General features: G+C 46.8%; 1 protein-coding gene across 1 annotated transcript in view, besides 2 other annotated features; it reads left to right on the forward strand.

Moving 5' to 3' along the window:
• GALNT10 (polypeptide N-acetylgalactosaminyltransferase 10) overlaps nt 1-15,166 on the forward strand; it is a 230,252-nt gene that overhangs the window by 1,622 nt on the left and 213,464 nt on the right. The gene's annotated exons all lie outside the window — the stretch shown is intronic.
• Nucleotides 10,537-11,037: an enhancer, noted in NCBI's record as "H3K4me1 hESC enhancer chr5:153582451-153582951 (GRCh37/hg19 assembly coordinates)". NCBI's record gives its function as "activates a minimal SCP1, AML or CMV promoter by ChIP-STARR-seq in primed H9 embryonic stem cells {active_cell/tissue: H9 hESC(primed)}" and the evidence as "EXISTENCE:reporter gene assay evidence [ECO:0000049][PMID:30033119]".
• Nucleotides 10,610-10,739: an enhancer, noted in NCBI's record as "active region_23473". NCBI's record gives its function as "activates an Ori minimal core promoter by ATAC-STARR-seq in GM12878 lymphoblastoid cells {active_cell/tissue: GM12878}" and the evidence as "EXISTENCE:reporter gene assay evidence [ECO:0000049][PMID:35858748]".

Raw genomic sequence — 15,166 nt, forward strand, 5'->3', positions numbered from 1 at the left:
CTCTTTCCTAAACCCCTGGTTCAAACCCTGACAGCTAGCTTAGACCTCTCTCCCTGAAATTCTGTATCTGTATGGATTTTCCGTTCATGAAATCTCTTTCCTCTGTTCCTATTCAGTACCAGCATCAGAGTCAGGAGTTCCAGGGTTCTGACCTCAGCTCTACCACTAACTTACTGTGTGTGTCCTTGATCACCTTTCATCTCCTTTTCTGAGCCTTACTTTCTTGGTCTGTAAACCATGATTATTGGTCCAGTTCTAACATTCTGTGATACTATCAGTTAATCAATGAGGAATACAACGGTCCCTTCTTTTTTTCTGTCTTGAGTCCAGAGTTCCTTGTAGCATCCCTAGCTGTGGAGGCTCCATACTGGACACAGCTCCAGGTCAAGGGGGAGTGTCCTACCCTAGTGCAAACTCTCCTTTAGAATAGCTGTAGCCCATTCTAAAATAGTGCTTGACATTCTGCCTCTGCTTGGAGAAAGACCTCGTATTTCATTTGCAATAGATGCCAAAGACATCCTGATTTTCATTTCTGTAGACCCAGATGGGTAGAGAAGGTCAAGGTTAACTGCCAGTTTGGCCTGAGCTTTCAAAGTAAATTACTCACTTGTGCAAGAGGGTATTGATAGAGTAAGGCAGACTTTTGGGCAGGGAGAGAGAGGGGAGCAACAGCTGGGTGCTGCTCAGAGCCCCTAACTGAAATGGATAGACAGGCTCATCTGGGAAGATCTAGTTTTTGTTCATTTCTTTTTCTCTGGAATAGCATGAAGAGGAGGAGGAAGAAGTGGTGAAGGGGGTTTGGGGGTTTGGGGGGAATACCAACTGATTATTCTTGCTTTAAAGAAAATCTCTTTGCTTCATGGGAGCAGCAGAATGGAGCTGTTTCCCCAATGATAAGCTCTTCTAGGTGCTACAGGATTCAGCATTCATCTGCTGCCTTTCAAGAACGCCCTGCCAAATTTCCACACAGCCCCTTTTTGTTTCACTCTCCCACAGATGCAGAGCACTGGGCTTGGCCCCCAGTCCGTTGTTTGAATGTCAGCTGGCCTTGAGGAAAGAGGCTGACTTCTCAGAGTGATGGTGTTCCATCCCTCATCCCAGTGTACTGGAACATACATGTAACATGCCAGGCTGCTATCTGGGAAATCTGGCATCTTGAGCATACAGAGCTTTTTCAACAGGGCTGACCAGTTCTGAGCTCAGCCTGTCATTCTTGTAATTGTTGAGAATCATCTTTGAGCATCTCGTTGATCCTTCTGGTAGAAATAACTGCAGAGGCTCTGGAGGGAAGTCTGACAGGACTTTATCCAAATGAAAAATGTGTTCCATATGGGTTTGAAAGAAGATTCTTTGAGAGTAACATATCCACTACTTGAGTAGTCCTCTAACTCCTTGATTTCTCCACTGGATTAAAGAACGGAGTTTCAAATTTATAGTGTTTATCATCTGCTAGAATGAAAGTCTACATAACTCATGCCAGCTCATCCTGGGAGTACCTCTGGAGCTGGGTGGGATAGCTGATTTATAAAGGACACATAATGCTTCTAGGATTTCAGCAGTCATCTGGTCAGACAGTTGGCTTCTTGGGAAGCTGCAAAACCAAGCAAGAAATGCCAGCCTTGAAGACATCTTCCTTTTAATTTGTGGGTCCCTCTCATTCCAAGCCCCAATCTGTTTAACATCTTGGTTTAATTCAACAGTCTGTTTCATATTCCAGGTTTGGGACAGGTTATTAAAAGCTCAAGTTAGAAACTCAGTGCAGTCTCTCCTCATTTCTGAGCCATAATCTCTTGTTGAAAAATGACTTCACTGGATAAATAGCATATGTGGAATAGAAATTGGTGGAATAATGGAATACCGGTGACTTTAATTTTCAAGTATCAGGATTTCTTTCTCATTGTGTTAGAGCTGAACTTTATTCTTAGAACATCCAGAAATCAATGTTTTTTTCTCTTTTTTCAGTCTTCCTGGTGGCAGAAGCCTTGCCCATCAGAAAGTTAAGTATAGAAATGTAGCCTTGGAACGATTTCCTTAATTTTCCACAGAAGGGCTAGTATCCTTTAGCTTGCTAATCACTCCTCTGTCTGCATGCCCAGGTGAAATCTGATGCCACTAGGGAAGGGTTGTTGATTTGCCAGAACAAATCCGGCTCCCTACATTCTTTCTGTCATTCTTGGCTTGCTGTCTACCAAGGAGTCCAGCTGAGGAAGGCCTGGGAACAGAGACCTGGCTTTTAGTCCTTTCTCCTGCCCTAAACTCACTGTGTGTCCTCAGGAAAGAGGTTTAACCTCTCTGGGCCTTGGATTCCTCATCTGCTAAGTGAGGCTTAGATTCAGAAGGGAAAAGGCAAATGCATATTGTAACGATGCTTCCCCTCCCATGGCCAGGGCAGACATTGCTAATCAACCTTTTCATTACTAATACCAGACTTGGGCTCAGACTGTTTCTCAGCAGGGCTACTCAAGTAGAGTTAACGACATATGGAAACTCATTAGCAATGTAGGGAATAGATACTGTGTTAGGGCTTTTCCAACTCTTACATCCTGAGGTTCTGTGAGTATGCTTGGAAACACATCTGAATAGTGATAGTATATTTAAACAGGCCTCTGTATCTAACTTGTAATGAGGCCACAACTTAAGGGTATGTTCATATTTGAATGTCTTTTCTCAGGCTGTAGTCTAAGGATGTTCAGCCTTTGATCTGTTGGTTCCAGTGACACGGTAACAGATAACGGAATCAGGAATGAAAAGCAAAAGCCCATTTAAAAGATAACCATCTAGCTTGCTAATTGTACCTTGTCCACAGTCAGCTCTTACACAGAGATGGCATCAGGATCTCCTCACTGAATCAAAAGCACCTTGAGGCAAACCTGGCAGCTACAAGTAAGCCCCATGGCAGCTAAATGCTCCTGACGGTGTTTGCAGAGGTTTCGTGTTTTACATATATCTGACCCTCTGCATCCCATATATGTGTCAGAACTGGTAAGGGAAGGCCTTGAATAAGAGTCTTGTTTCTCCAGAGAACCTTTCTCCTCATGCGCAGTGGAGTGGGGAAAGGAGGTAGCGCATATACACCTGAATTCCCGCAGCAAGAAGTGTATCATGGCCTCCCTGCTGGAAATGTCTTAAGGTAGGAACACATCCTCCTCTAGCACAAAGCACAAGATTTGGCTCTTGGAAGACAGGATGTGTTTGCTGAATGATTGAAATATATCAGAGCAGGCAGGGGGCTGCAGAAGTCATCTAGTCCAATCTCCTCAATTTGTAGGTATGAAAACTGAGGCCGAGAAAAAGGGAAACAAATTAAACAAGTTCCCATAGGGAGGAACGCAGATCAGAATCCATTCTCCAAGTTCTTGTTCTATTTCACCATGAGAAATTTTTTCCCTCCATATACTAATATTTGATCCTTCTCTACCATTATTTCTTTCAGGAGCCAAGATTATCACCCCAAATTTTGGAGGCCACTGCTTAATGAGACCAATTATCTGCTGGAACCTATCTGGCTATTTTTTTGTAGATCTATTTTTGTACATTTTCTTTCCAACATTTTATAGTGTTTTGTTTTTGTTTTTGTTTTTTTTTGAAACGGAGTTTTGCTCTTGTTGCCCAGGCTGGAGTGCAATGGCGTGATCTCGGCCCATCGCAACCTCCACCTCCCAGGTTCAAGTGATTCTCCTGCCTCAGCCTTCCCAAGTAGCTGGGATTATAGGCATGCGCCACCAAGCCTGGCTAATTTTGTATTTTTAGTAGAGATGGGGTTTTTCCGTGTGGGTCAGGCTGGTCTCGAACTCCCGACCTCAGGTGATCTGCCCACCTCAGCCTCCCAAAGTGCTGGGATTACAGGCGTGAGCCACCATACCCAGCCTCATTTTATAGTTTTAAAAGCAACTAAAATGGATTAAAATTTAAGGTGGCAAAGGGACAAGAGTAGAGGAATTAAAGGCTGGGAAGTACATGGCACCATTACTGCTATCCCTGACAGACAGAGAGAACTTGAGCCTAAGAACCACCTCAGATTCTCTATCAGTTGCAAGTAACAAAACAAATTGAGCCATGTGGGCTGAAATGAGTAAGGGAATATATTGGCTCCTGTGACTGTAGTTGGCTTCAGGTATGGTGTGATCTAGAGGTTTGTGGCATTGTCAGGGCTCGGTCTCCTTTCCTCTGGTTTCTGTTGGTTCTGACTTTCTCTGTGTGTTGGCTTTGTTCTGTTTTGAGGCTCCATGGCAGCAAAAAATGGTAATAGCTCTTTCAGACCTCAGATCCACACCTAGATCCTAGAGGAGAGGGTCTGTCTCCTCTGGTAGCTTCTACAAAAGACAGAGAACATCTTTTCTATAAGCTCTAGCAAGATCTTAGGTCTTACCGGTCTACTTTGGATCTAATGTGCTGTCTGAACCATTCGCAGATTTCAGGAGGAGAAGCTGTATTGATTGACTTAACGTACCCTAGAGCTAGGAGTGGAGTCAGGTTACCCAGATCTAAGAAGAGCAGTTCCCCAGAGAAGACTCTGGGTGCTGCTTTTGGGAAGAGGAGAAAGATATCTAGAGAAGAAGCCCACAAATATCCACTCCAGAGTCCTGCTGACACAGTGTTCCAGGCAGTAATCACTCCTTGGGGATGAGATTTGGTCCTGGAGAGAAAACCCCTTTGCCACCCTGGACCCATTTTTGGGCACCGAACCTGCAGTCTGGAGGTCTGTGTTCTCATTCCAGCACTGCCACCCCTTGGCTGAGATGATTAGCTGTGTGGACCTCAGTTTGTTGCTGAGGACGGCTTGGGTGCAAATGCTTGCCAACACACAGTGGAGGGTGGAGATAAAGAGCAATTGAAAGCTGTCTTTATTGAATCTTACTTACCCGTTCTGCCGCTGCCTTCCTTTCCCCTCACAGACGTCCCGAGAACTGTCTCCCCTGCCCCCATACACACTAAAAGTCAATTCATTGAAAATTTCTCTCAAGCTGAAAAAGAACTTCTGTCTCTGCAGCTTCCACGTTTTTTCTGCCTGGCCCTCTTAGCTGGAGGAGGTGGAGTGTTCATACTTTGGAAGCTAGAGGAAGCTAAACAATTCTGCTTGCTGTGGTGGGTGGGTGTGTATTTATGCGTGTGTAGCTTTCTCTCCATGTGTCTCTCTTCTCTCCCTCTTATCTTTGAATGGTTCCTGTTTGCTGCCCTCTGCTGAGTGTAGATAGGAGAGAAAAGAAAAAAGCAGGCCTATTTTTTTCCTTCCCTATGGCTTTAAGAGAATGCTGAGCTTCAGATGTTAAATTGTCTTCAGTTTTCTCAGGTGATGAAAGCCACAGCATAAAATGATACTGATCCAAAGAATGATGATGATATGGCTGATAATGAGGTTGATAATGTTAATAGTAGTAATAGCAGTTACCATTTATTTAGCACTTACTCTGCTAGGTCCTTTACCTGTACATCTGTTAAATATTGTTGTAACCAGGTAGGAAAGAAGGAGGGAACTGAAGCTCGAAGAGGGGCAGGTGCTTGCCCAAGGATGCACAGCCTGTAGTGGTGGAGCTGGTATTTGAACTCTGACCTAGTGCTGAGTCCTTAACCACCATACTTCCTCCATATCTGAGCAGGACAAAGGACCTGTCTTCCACCCCTGCCCGTTAAGCCCTTCCTGCAAGCCTGGACATCTGAGCAGGTGAGAGGGACCATTGCCCTAAGACAGCCTCTTCAGTAGCTGAAGTGGAGCACATAAGGTCATGTGGTGGTGGTGTGTGCTGGAAGAGAAACCTCTACCTCAGCCTCCTCCTGTCTCCGTTCCTCTTGGTTTGAGGCATGTGGGGCTGCGTATAGTGCTCTAGCTTTGGAGCTACACTGCCTGATTCAAAACCCGAGGCTTGGGCAAGCTTGACCTGTGTGCCTGGAATTCTTGGTCTGTAAAATGGTAGTAATGTTAACTGTGGCAGAGAGTTCTCTTGAGGGTTCAGTGAGTCACTGTGGGTAAAACCCCAAACACAATGCTTGGTACAGAACAAGTGCTTGGTAAACATGGTGATGCCGCTGCCTTTGTGAAGTGCCTCGCCTATGGCAGGGACTCAATTCTCTGTGGCTTCCCTTTGGCGGAGGTAGGGAGGGCTGCATAACATTGTCTTTGTCTAGAAGGTGAGCAATTCGAAGATAAGTGGTTGGCTTAACAGCACAGGGTTCAGAAGAACTGGAAGAAGCCAGGTGGGTGCAGTCTCTGATTATTGGAGGTGGGAAGGAAATTGTGCATGCAGAGGCTGCTCTTGGTACCCCTCTTCCTGAAACTTCGGAATGCGAAGCAATTGTTGGGGATGCCTTCTCAACTCCCACCCTGGGACAACCCAGACCCTCTGTATCCTTCTAGATTCAGCTCATAGCCTGCTGCCTCCAGGAAGTGTTCTTTGGTTACTCCAGCCCCCAGGGGTCACTCAAGGGTCTTAGCTCCTCTGAGCCTTGATTTTCTCATCTGCCTACTTAGATCAGAGGCCCTCTAGAAGATTTCTAACATCCTTCTTCCCTGCAGCCTTGCCCCTAGACCTGACTAACTCCTGCCAGGGCAGCCTAGGTTAGCATTCTTCCCAACCAGGGCCCGGAGACCTGTATATAAATCTGTCACGCAATGCTGTAATTGTTTTTAATCTGTCCAGACTGTCTGCTTCCTAAAGGCAGGAACTAACCTCTCTCTTGGTCACTCTTGTTTGCCTAAAATATTTGCTGAATGGCTGAGGGGGTGAGTGAGTAAGTGAATCATATGGTTGGTACTCAGTAACTGCTGGCTGCATGCTGGAAGCTTAGCCTTAGGAATGGTTCTTCTTGAACTTCAGGGTGCTTCACAATCCCTAGGGAGCCTGTTAAGGATGGTGACACCAGGATCCATGCCCAAAGAGCATGAAGGGGCTGGTTTGGGCTTGGCCAAGGATCACATATTTAACAAATCCTACTGAGGGTCCAACAGGGAACTCCTCTCCACCCACCTGACAGGAGACAGACCTCTCTTTCCCCAGGGACCCACTCCATTCTCCCCAGGAGTGCTTCAGGACCCGCCCTTGAACTTCTGTTCCTGGGAAGTGTGTTTATCTGCAGCTTCCCAAGTTGTCAATCAGCACCCACAGGGGAGCTCTGTGGTACTTTTAGCAGTGGCACTGTATCTGATGCAAGCAGATCAGGCTCCAGTTCAGGACAGGGATGGGAGGTGCACTTTGGAATCCCTCTCCTGTGGGCTGCGAGGATTGGCTGGGGCGGTAGAGCTTTATTTTCCTTTGATGCCCACAGTCTGCTGCTCTTCCAGGATGCGTGCTCTGCCTTCCTGCCATGGGCAAGGATGAGGTAGGTGCCTCTACGTGGGTGTTGGGCTGAACTAGGGGGTCTCTTGGGAAGGGTTAGTATTGTGGAGACCCTGTAAACCTCTCCCTTGTACTGGAGAGAGCAGAGGAGAGAGTGTGGAGTTGGGAACCAATGTGACCTGATCCTCAGGCCCAGCTCTGCCACTTGCTGGCTCTGTGCCTGACCTCTGGGGCTTCCTGCTCCTTCTCCTAAAATGAGCAAAGTCATCACTACTTCCTAGTGTCATGGTGATGATTAGATGAAATTAAATAACAGTTGTGAGGATTGAGGTACAGAGAGGTCAGGTAACATATCCAGGGCCACGCAGCTAGGAAGTGATGGAAACAGGATTCCAATCCAGCTGGGATGCTTCCTTCCGGTATCTGCGCCAGCCACTGACTGGATGGTCTGGGGCGAGTCTGTGGGTCTGCCCCTGCTCACAGGGACTTGCGGAGGCCTCAGTGGGAGGTTATCACTGAGACCCCCATGAGCCTGGTTCTTGTTGTTGGCTCCAGAAAGCTCTTTCAGCTGAATACCCAGGCAGCCGTGCCAGGGCAGGGATTATAGCAAGTCCCATGTGCCGCCTGGATGCTGCACTCGGGCAGCCTCTCACGAGCCCAGTTCGCCAGGGTTCTGTGTGTGTGTGTTTGTGTAGGTCTCCCTTGTGAGTTACAAATGTCAGCCTCCTCTGAGAGGCGGGCTGCTGAGCAGAGGGGCCGACAGGGGCTCCTGGAGGGAAGGGGGTTTCTTCGAGGGAACAGGTTGGAAACATCTGGCAGGGGTGTGTGTGTGAAAATTACGTCCTGCTGCTAAAGCACATTGTATGTTCTCAACTGAAAACTGTTATTTTTTGCATGTTTCCTCCTGAGTATTGATCAGAGTCAGCTGCTGAGAGTTAAAATGTGTATGTGTGTGTGTGTGCCTATTTGTGAAATAACCAGTTTCTAAATTTGGTACCTAACTTCAGTGAAAAGTTAGTAATTCTGTTCTTGGAGAGCCAGGATCTGTCATTTGGATTTGTGGTTATTTTATTAATAATAAACTTTAATGGCTATTTCATTCAGAGAGCTTCTTTTATTAATTTCTTTGACCTTTATGTATTTTTAATCACCTTACCTGTATACTTTAATGGAAGTTGCAAACTGGTGGCCTGTGGGCCAGATGCAGCCCAGAGATACGTTTTGTGTGCCTTGAACAGTGATGGCCCATAGATAGTTGGGTTTTTTAATTTTTAAATGTTCATATGTTACCAGTACCTAACCATGAGAATATTTCCTATTTTAAAACAATTCTATACTAATTTCTGTTTTTTTTGTTTTTGTTTTTGTTTTTTTGTTTTTTAATCAAAGTTCAGCTGCTGAGTTCAGGTTCAAGTTTTGTAAGAATTTGCTGGATGTGGGAACAGCTGTCTCCTCTAGACAGACCCTAGCTCTCCAGTTGGCCACCACCCCTGCTGCACTTAGTGGTCTCAAACCTGGGCACTTCACCCTTTCACACAACTGGCCAGGCTGCAGGAGACATTCGACTTTGGGAGCCCTCCTTTATGATATGCAAATTCCCATAGGCTTTTCCCAGTTCTGCCTCCACCAGTATCACGGTGGAGGCAGGGCAGGGCTTACGGTCCCCACTTCACAGATGCAAAAACTGAGGTTCAAAGAGCATAAGTGACACGACTAGTACCAAAGCCAATAAGTTGATGCTAATCCTTCTGTCTCTAAGACTAATGTACTTTTCAGAGAAAAAAAAATAATTACTTGGAAGTGTAAGTATATAAACCTTAGGCTCTGACAGACTCACTTATGTTTATATTTAGATGATTCTTGCTCTATCTCAGCTCAAGAAACCATTTGCCTTGCTTCTGTCCATTTCTAGGTATCTGAATTTCAGGTCTACCCTGTCTAATAAAGTTTTGTTGTTGTTGTTGTTGTTGTTTTTAGCCATGTCAGGGGCTGCTCTAGATTTGTTAGAAATGATGTAGGTACAGGCCAGGCGTGGTGGCTCTCACCTGTAATCCCAGCACTTTGGGAGACCAACATGGGCAGATGACGAGATCAGGAGTTTGAGACCAGCCTGGCCAACATGGTAAAACCCCGTCTCTACTAAAAATACAAAAATTAGCCGGGTGTAGTGGCGCACTCCTGTAATCCCAGCTCCTCAGCAGGCTGAGGTAGGAGAATCATTTGAAGCTGGGAGGCGGAGGTTGCAGTGAGCTGAGATCGCACCACTGCACTCCAGCCTGGGTGACAGAGCAAGATTCCGTCTCGAGGAAAAGAAAAAAAAAAAAAGAAATGATGTAGGTACAGAATCCACCTTGTTTTCTGCCTGTGCTTCCTGGCATGTCGGGAAACCCCAGAATGTATCTTCCTATTATTGGGGAAGTGTTAGGATCCATTAAATGAGAGTGAAGACAGGTTTCCCAGCAGAAATGGTACATGCTCCACTCCCTGGTCTGAGGGGACCTCACAGGCACCCAGGAGGTTTCTAGAAAAGAGAGAACCTGGATGAGAACAGCTTAGGTCCCCCCAGAGGCAGCTGAACATAGCCACTCATGTCTCTGAGAGTAGGGTTCATTGCCGGGGCAGGAGTGGGGGTCCCTCTGCCCGCCATTTCAAGAACCTTCCCTTGGAGGCTCCAGGTGGCTCCTGGTGTGGCAGTGGGGCATGGAGTGTGGGGCACAGCTCGGTGTGGTGGCCAGGAGTTAGCTTTGTCCTTGAGCACTGGCTCCACAGCAGAAACAGCAATGATCATTAGTTTATTGAGCTCTTACTGCGTGCTATGCACTGTGCCCATCTCAGTTCATCAGCACTGTAATCCCAGGGAGTGAGTGCCCTTACTGTTGTCATTTTACAGATGGGAAAACTGAGGCTCAGGAAACTTAAGTCACTTCCCAGGCCTATACAAGAAACAAGTGGTGGGACTCAAACTCAGATTTCTGACTCTCCAACTTGTGCTCTTAGCTACCATGTTTTATTGACTCCTCTGGGCAAGTCTTTTAACGTCTTTTGGCCTCCATTTCCTCACCTGTAAGTGGGAATAATACCTTCTTGGCACACGAGCAGAGTCAGTTTTCCCACCCATAACTCTTCCTGCCACCCCTCCCTCGGGGCGGTTGTCAGACACTGGTGTGGTGTGAGCTATCTTTCCCGCTAGGGTGGGGCCTCTCTGCTTGTGGGGGTGGGGTCTCCCAGCAGAGTCAGCCTGGGGTGTGCCTCTCTGCTTCTCCCTTTCGCAGCCTAGACCCCCCTCGCCTGCTATTCTGCACTCTGCCCTGGCAGCAAGAGAGGCAGCTGAGGGCTCCTGCCATCCAAGCCCTGCCAGGGAACAATGGGGCACGTTAAGAAGGCTGCCAAGTGCCAAGCCAGAGGTATTAAAGGGACATTTGATTAGTTTTAACTCTAATTGTCAGGCTTTTGCTTTCTTTTGTTCTCTGTAGCAGTTAAGGGCGAGGGGAAGCCCCGGTGTGAGTTTCCTCCCTCTGTGACTTGTATGGACTCTCTTTCACTTTGGGTGTATGACTCTTTCACCTGTCTCCTATTCTCAGGCCTCTCCCCTCTCTGTCTGTGTGTGTTTCTCTGTCTCTCCTTCCACCTCCCCCCGCAACCCCCATAGTCTCCGTGATGTGTGTCTCTCTCTTAGCAAATATGATGAGAAATGACACTAAAGAAGCCATAAGCCTACCACGGTGGAATCCACAATTTCAAGGAATTGTATCTTTTATCATATCCAGTCTCCCTCAACCTTATCCCTGCCAAATGGTTACCATCTTTGACTTGAACACCCCCAGTGATGGGGAACTCACCTCCTTTAGCTCAGCAGAGTCCTAGGTAGTCTGCCATGGCTCAGGGGTGACCTAAGAATTTCTTGAGTACCCTCTACCCATCCTTTCAGGTACCTCTGAAATCTTTTTCTTCCCAGAAAGCCTTCCCTGATCTTTCCAGTTAGAATTAGTCTGTCTCTTGGAAATGCCTACAAAACTTAATTTGTACAACTGTGGTGGCGTGAATGTTATAGTGCCATGTATTGCCATTTCCCTAGGTGGAGGAATGTATTGTTGAAGGAGGCTTCCTAGCAGGACACTCCCTTGGATGAGGCTCCAGCTGGGAAGAAGAGATCCCAGAGCTCTCTCTTGTGAGCCTGGGCTTCCTCCTCTTTCGAAAAGTTCCATTCCCAAACTTGACCACTGTGTTTTATGTGGTCTTTTAGTCCAGAGAATATTCCAGGTTTTTACAGGCCATACAGTCTCTGCCACAACTACTCAATCTGTCTTTGTAGTGTGAGGGTAGCCATAGACACTACTTAAACCAATGAGAGTGCTGTGTTCCAATAAAGCTTTATTTGCAAAAGCAGTCAGCAAGCTGGATTGCCAGGCCATGGTTTGCTGACCCCTTTCTAGTCTTTTCATGATGAAAGAGCCCTGGGTTTTGAGGCAGGAGCCTGACTCCTCAGGTAGGAGCCACCTTGAGTTGCTTTGTGACCCTAGTTGGGTCCCTGACTCAGCAGTGCTTCCGTCCTCTCCTATGTAAGCTGTGTTAATTGGGAGGACAAGTTCTAAGGATCCCTCCAGCTTTTGATACTCAGTGAGGCCCTGAATTCTCTGCTGGATCTGACTGCATCTCTGAAACAGATTCCAAATCCACCTATTTTCTTCCCGCTTCCCACCAGCCTGTCACATCTCACCTGGATTCCTGCCACAGCCTCCTGGCTCCTCTCCTACCTCCACCCTGAAATCATAGTCCATTCTTTATGCACAGCCCAAGTACACATTTGCAAGGGTAAATCAGAGGTTTCTGCCTCTTTCCTAAAACTCTTCAGTGGCTTCCACTGCTGCACTGAAACACAGCACAGACCCCTGTCTCGTCTGGCCCTGCTTACCCTCTGGCTCACTGTGTCTCCTCCTCTCAGTCACAGCACAGCAGCTGCATTAGCCTTCTTACACATCCAGCATGGTCCTTCTGCAGGACCTTTGCATGTGGTCCTGCCTGTAATACTCTTCCCCAAGATTATAGAAGGACTGGTTCCTCCTCATCTTTTAGGTCTTGGCTCCAAAGTCACCTCCTCAGAGAGGGCTTCCGTGAACATACCATCTGAAGTACCTCTTTCCTACCCACTCTGCGACTTGATCAACTGTGAAATGTCCACATAGCAACTTAGCACTGTCTGGAGTCACCTTGCTTATTTATTTACTTGTTTATTTCTCTGCTCCAGTAGATACTAAACACCATGAGGGTAGGGACCTTGTGTGTCTTATTTACTGCTGTACCTTATAGTGCTGGCACATGGCAGGTGCTCAAGAATATTTGTTGAATTAATGAATGAATGCATGCATACCTGTGTTCCCAGATACCCTACAGATAGGACTCTGACTTCTCCATGTTTCTTCTCACCACTCCTCCGTGTTTCATTTGGACACCACTCTGTTCTTGGTGTTGTGGGAAATTGCACACTTTCACCCTAAGGGGCTGTGTTCTCATAGTGGGGGAAGAGACAGACTTCCTTCTCCCCTGTTGAGATCAGAAGGCCTCAAAAGTGTTAGCTCCCTAAGGCAACAGTCAAAGGACACCGTTTCTCTTGAGATCTTTTAATCAGAAGCAGCTCCTGTCCTCAGTCCACGTGGCTTCATTGGTGGTATCTCTGGATGAGGATCCATTTGGTTCTCTCCCTCCAGACAGTCTTTAGAATATGAAGTAAGTAGCTTGTCTGGGATTATATTTTCCCCCTGGTTCTTAGGAGGAAAATATAAGGGTGGACCCCTGCTTACTTGTTTTGTGAGGAGCATCCCTGCAGTCTAGAGGGAGCGTCTTAAGGAAGAGGGCTGCTGGTCGTGCCCCAGGCTTTCCCAAGGACTGCAGCTCCCAGTAAGTGGGTAAATGGGCTCATGGGTTGAATCATGTCTCTCAAAAAGATACGGCAAAGTCCTTACTCACGGCACCTCAGAATATGACCTAATTTGGAAATAGGTTTGTTGCAAATGTAACCAATCAAGATGATGTCATGCTGGAATAGGGTGGGCCCTTAATCCTCTGTGACTGACTGATATCCTTATAAGAAGAGGAGAAGAGATGCAGAGACAGAGAGGGAAGACGGCTGTGAAAAGCTGTAGACAGAGACTGGAGTGATGCTGCCCTAAGCCAGGGTACACCTGGGGCTACCAGAAGCTGGAAGAGGAGGAAGGAAGCATCTCCCCTAGAGGCTTTGGAGATAGGATAGCCCTGCCAGTACCTTGATTTTGAATTTCAAGCCTCCAGAACTGTGACGCAATAAATTTCTGTTGTTCAAAGCCACCCACTTTATGGTACTTTGTTATGGTAGCCCTTGGGAACTAATACATGGACCATTTTCCATTTTCTCATCAGATTGTGTTGTGTGTGTGTGTGTATGAGTGTGTCTGTATGTTATATTTGTAGGCAGATAGATAAAACACCTTTGCAAAGGCAAGGATAATTGTCTTAATCTCTTCTAGCTACTTACATTTCTTTTTAATTCATGGAAAAGATCCTCTCTTTCTGTGGAGGATTAGCATATTACACTGCACATATATATTCTTTAACTAAAGCCACTCTGCTTATTAAGAGATCAACCTGTTAAAAAAAACCTGAGCCATTAGCCTTGAATCCCAGTGAATAAACACATGGTACATACTGCCTTTCACTTAACTGTATTATCCTTTTGTTCTGAGCTCAACAATTTATTTTTGTACTGGGTCCCCACTAAATTGATTTGGGGGATTACTATGTGATAGATACAAAAAACAGCCGCTGCCTTGAGAGAGCTCCTAGTCTAAAAAGGGACGCAGACAAGTTCACGGGGATGCAGTGCATCAGGCAGAGCATGACGAGTGTTGCAAGAGGAGATCAGCCAGTGCTGCGGGAAGCCAAGAGGAAGGGAGCAGCACCCTAGTTGTAATCAGGAAGGACTTCTGAAAGGTGCTGATTTTTAAGATGGTCCTGAAGAAGGTTAAAACTTTAGCAAAGTGTACATGGTGGGATTGGGGTCTCTCAGATGGCAGGAAGCGGGGAGCCTCTTTCAAGAACAGCAAAAGGCAGAGTCACTGAAACTTCACGTGTCTGTTAGAGAGTAGCTGGAAAAGTGGGTGAGGGCCAGGTCACAGGGTCCCTGATTGCTAGGCCAGGGAGGCTGGCCTGCAGGAGGCAAGGAAGCCATGGATAGTTTTTGAGCAGAGGATGACTTGATCAGGGCTAGGCCTCAGAAAGGTAACTACGGCAACGCAGGAGCCACAGGAGGCAGGGAGAGCAGTTTGGAGGCTATTGGGGTGGAGAGATTCATTCATCCACTGTGCCTTTCTGTGGTCCAGATGCTATGCTAGGTTCTGAGGCCACCAAGATGTGTAACGTGCAGCCTTTGAGCTTAAGGAATCCATTGCTACTGTTGCAGACTGTTTTTGCCAGGCACAGTGTTAAGCACTTTGCATACATTATCATCTTTGATCCTCACAGCAACCCAATAACATACTCACTCTAATTATCCCCATTTTATGGATGAAGGCAGAACCAGCCTGGGACATGCGCAATATGCGTTCAAAAACTGCTGGATAAATGACATATTGAAGGAAGAAGAACTGCAGACCTAAATGCCAGCTACACAGCAGGCTGAGCCTTCCAGGTCAGGTCCTGTGCCTGGAGTGCCCTGGCCCCTCGAGAGCTGTCCTGGGAGCACCTCTGCCTTATCTGGTCTGGTTGCAGGGAGGTTGCAGGTTCATCAGGGAGATGAAATGTTTCACTCAAGGTCACACAGCTGGTCACTGGTAGGGCTGTGACTGGCCTACAGAGTCCTGGGCCTTAACCACTTCTCTGGGCTCCACATACTAAACAGGTCAAGTCAGAGTACAGTGAGATCT

This window comes from Homo sapiens, chromosome 5, assembly GCF_000001405.40.
Source record: "Homo sapiens chromosome 5, GRCh38.p14 Primary Assembly".
In the NCBI taxonomy this organism is placed as follows: Eukaryota; Metazoa; Chordata; class Mammalia; order Primates; family Hominidae; genus Homo; species Homo sapiens.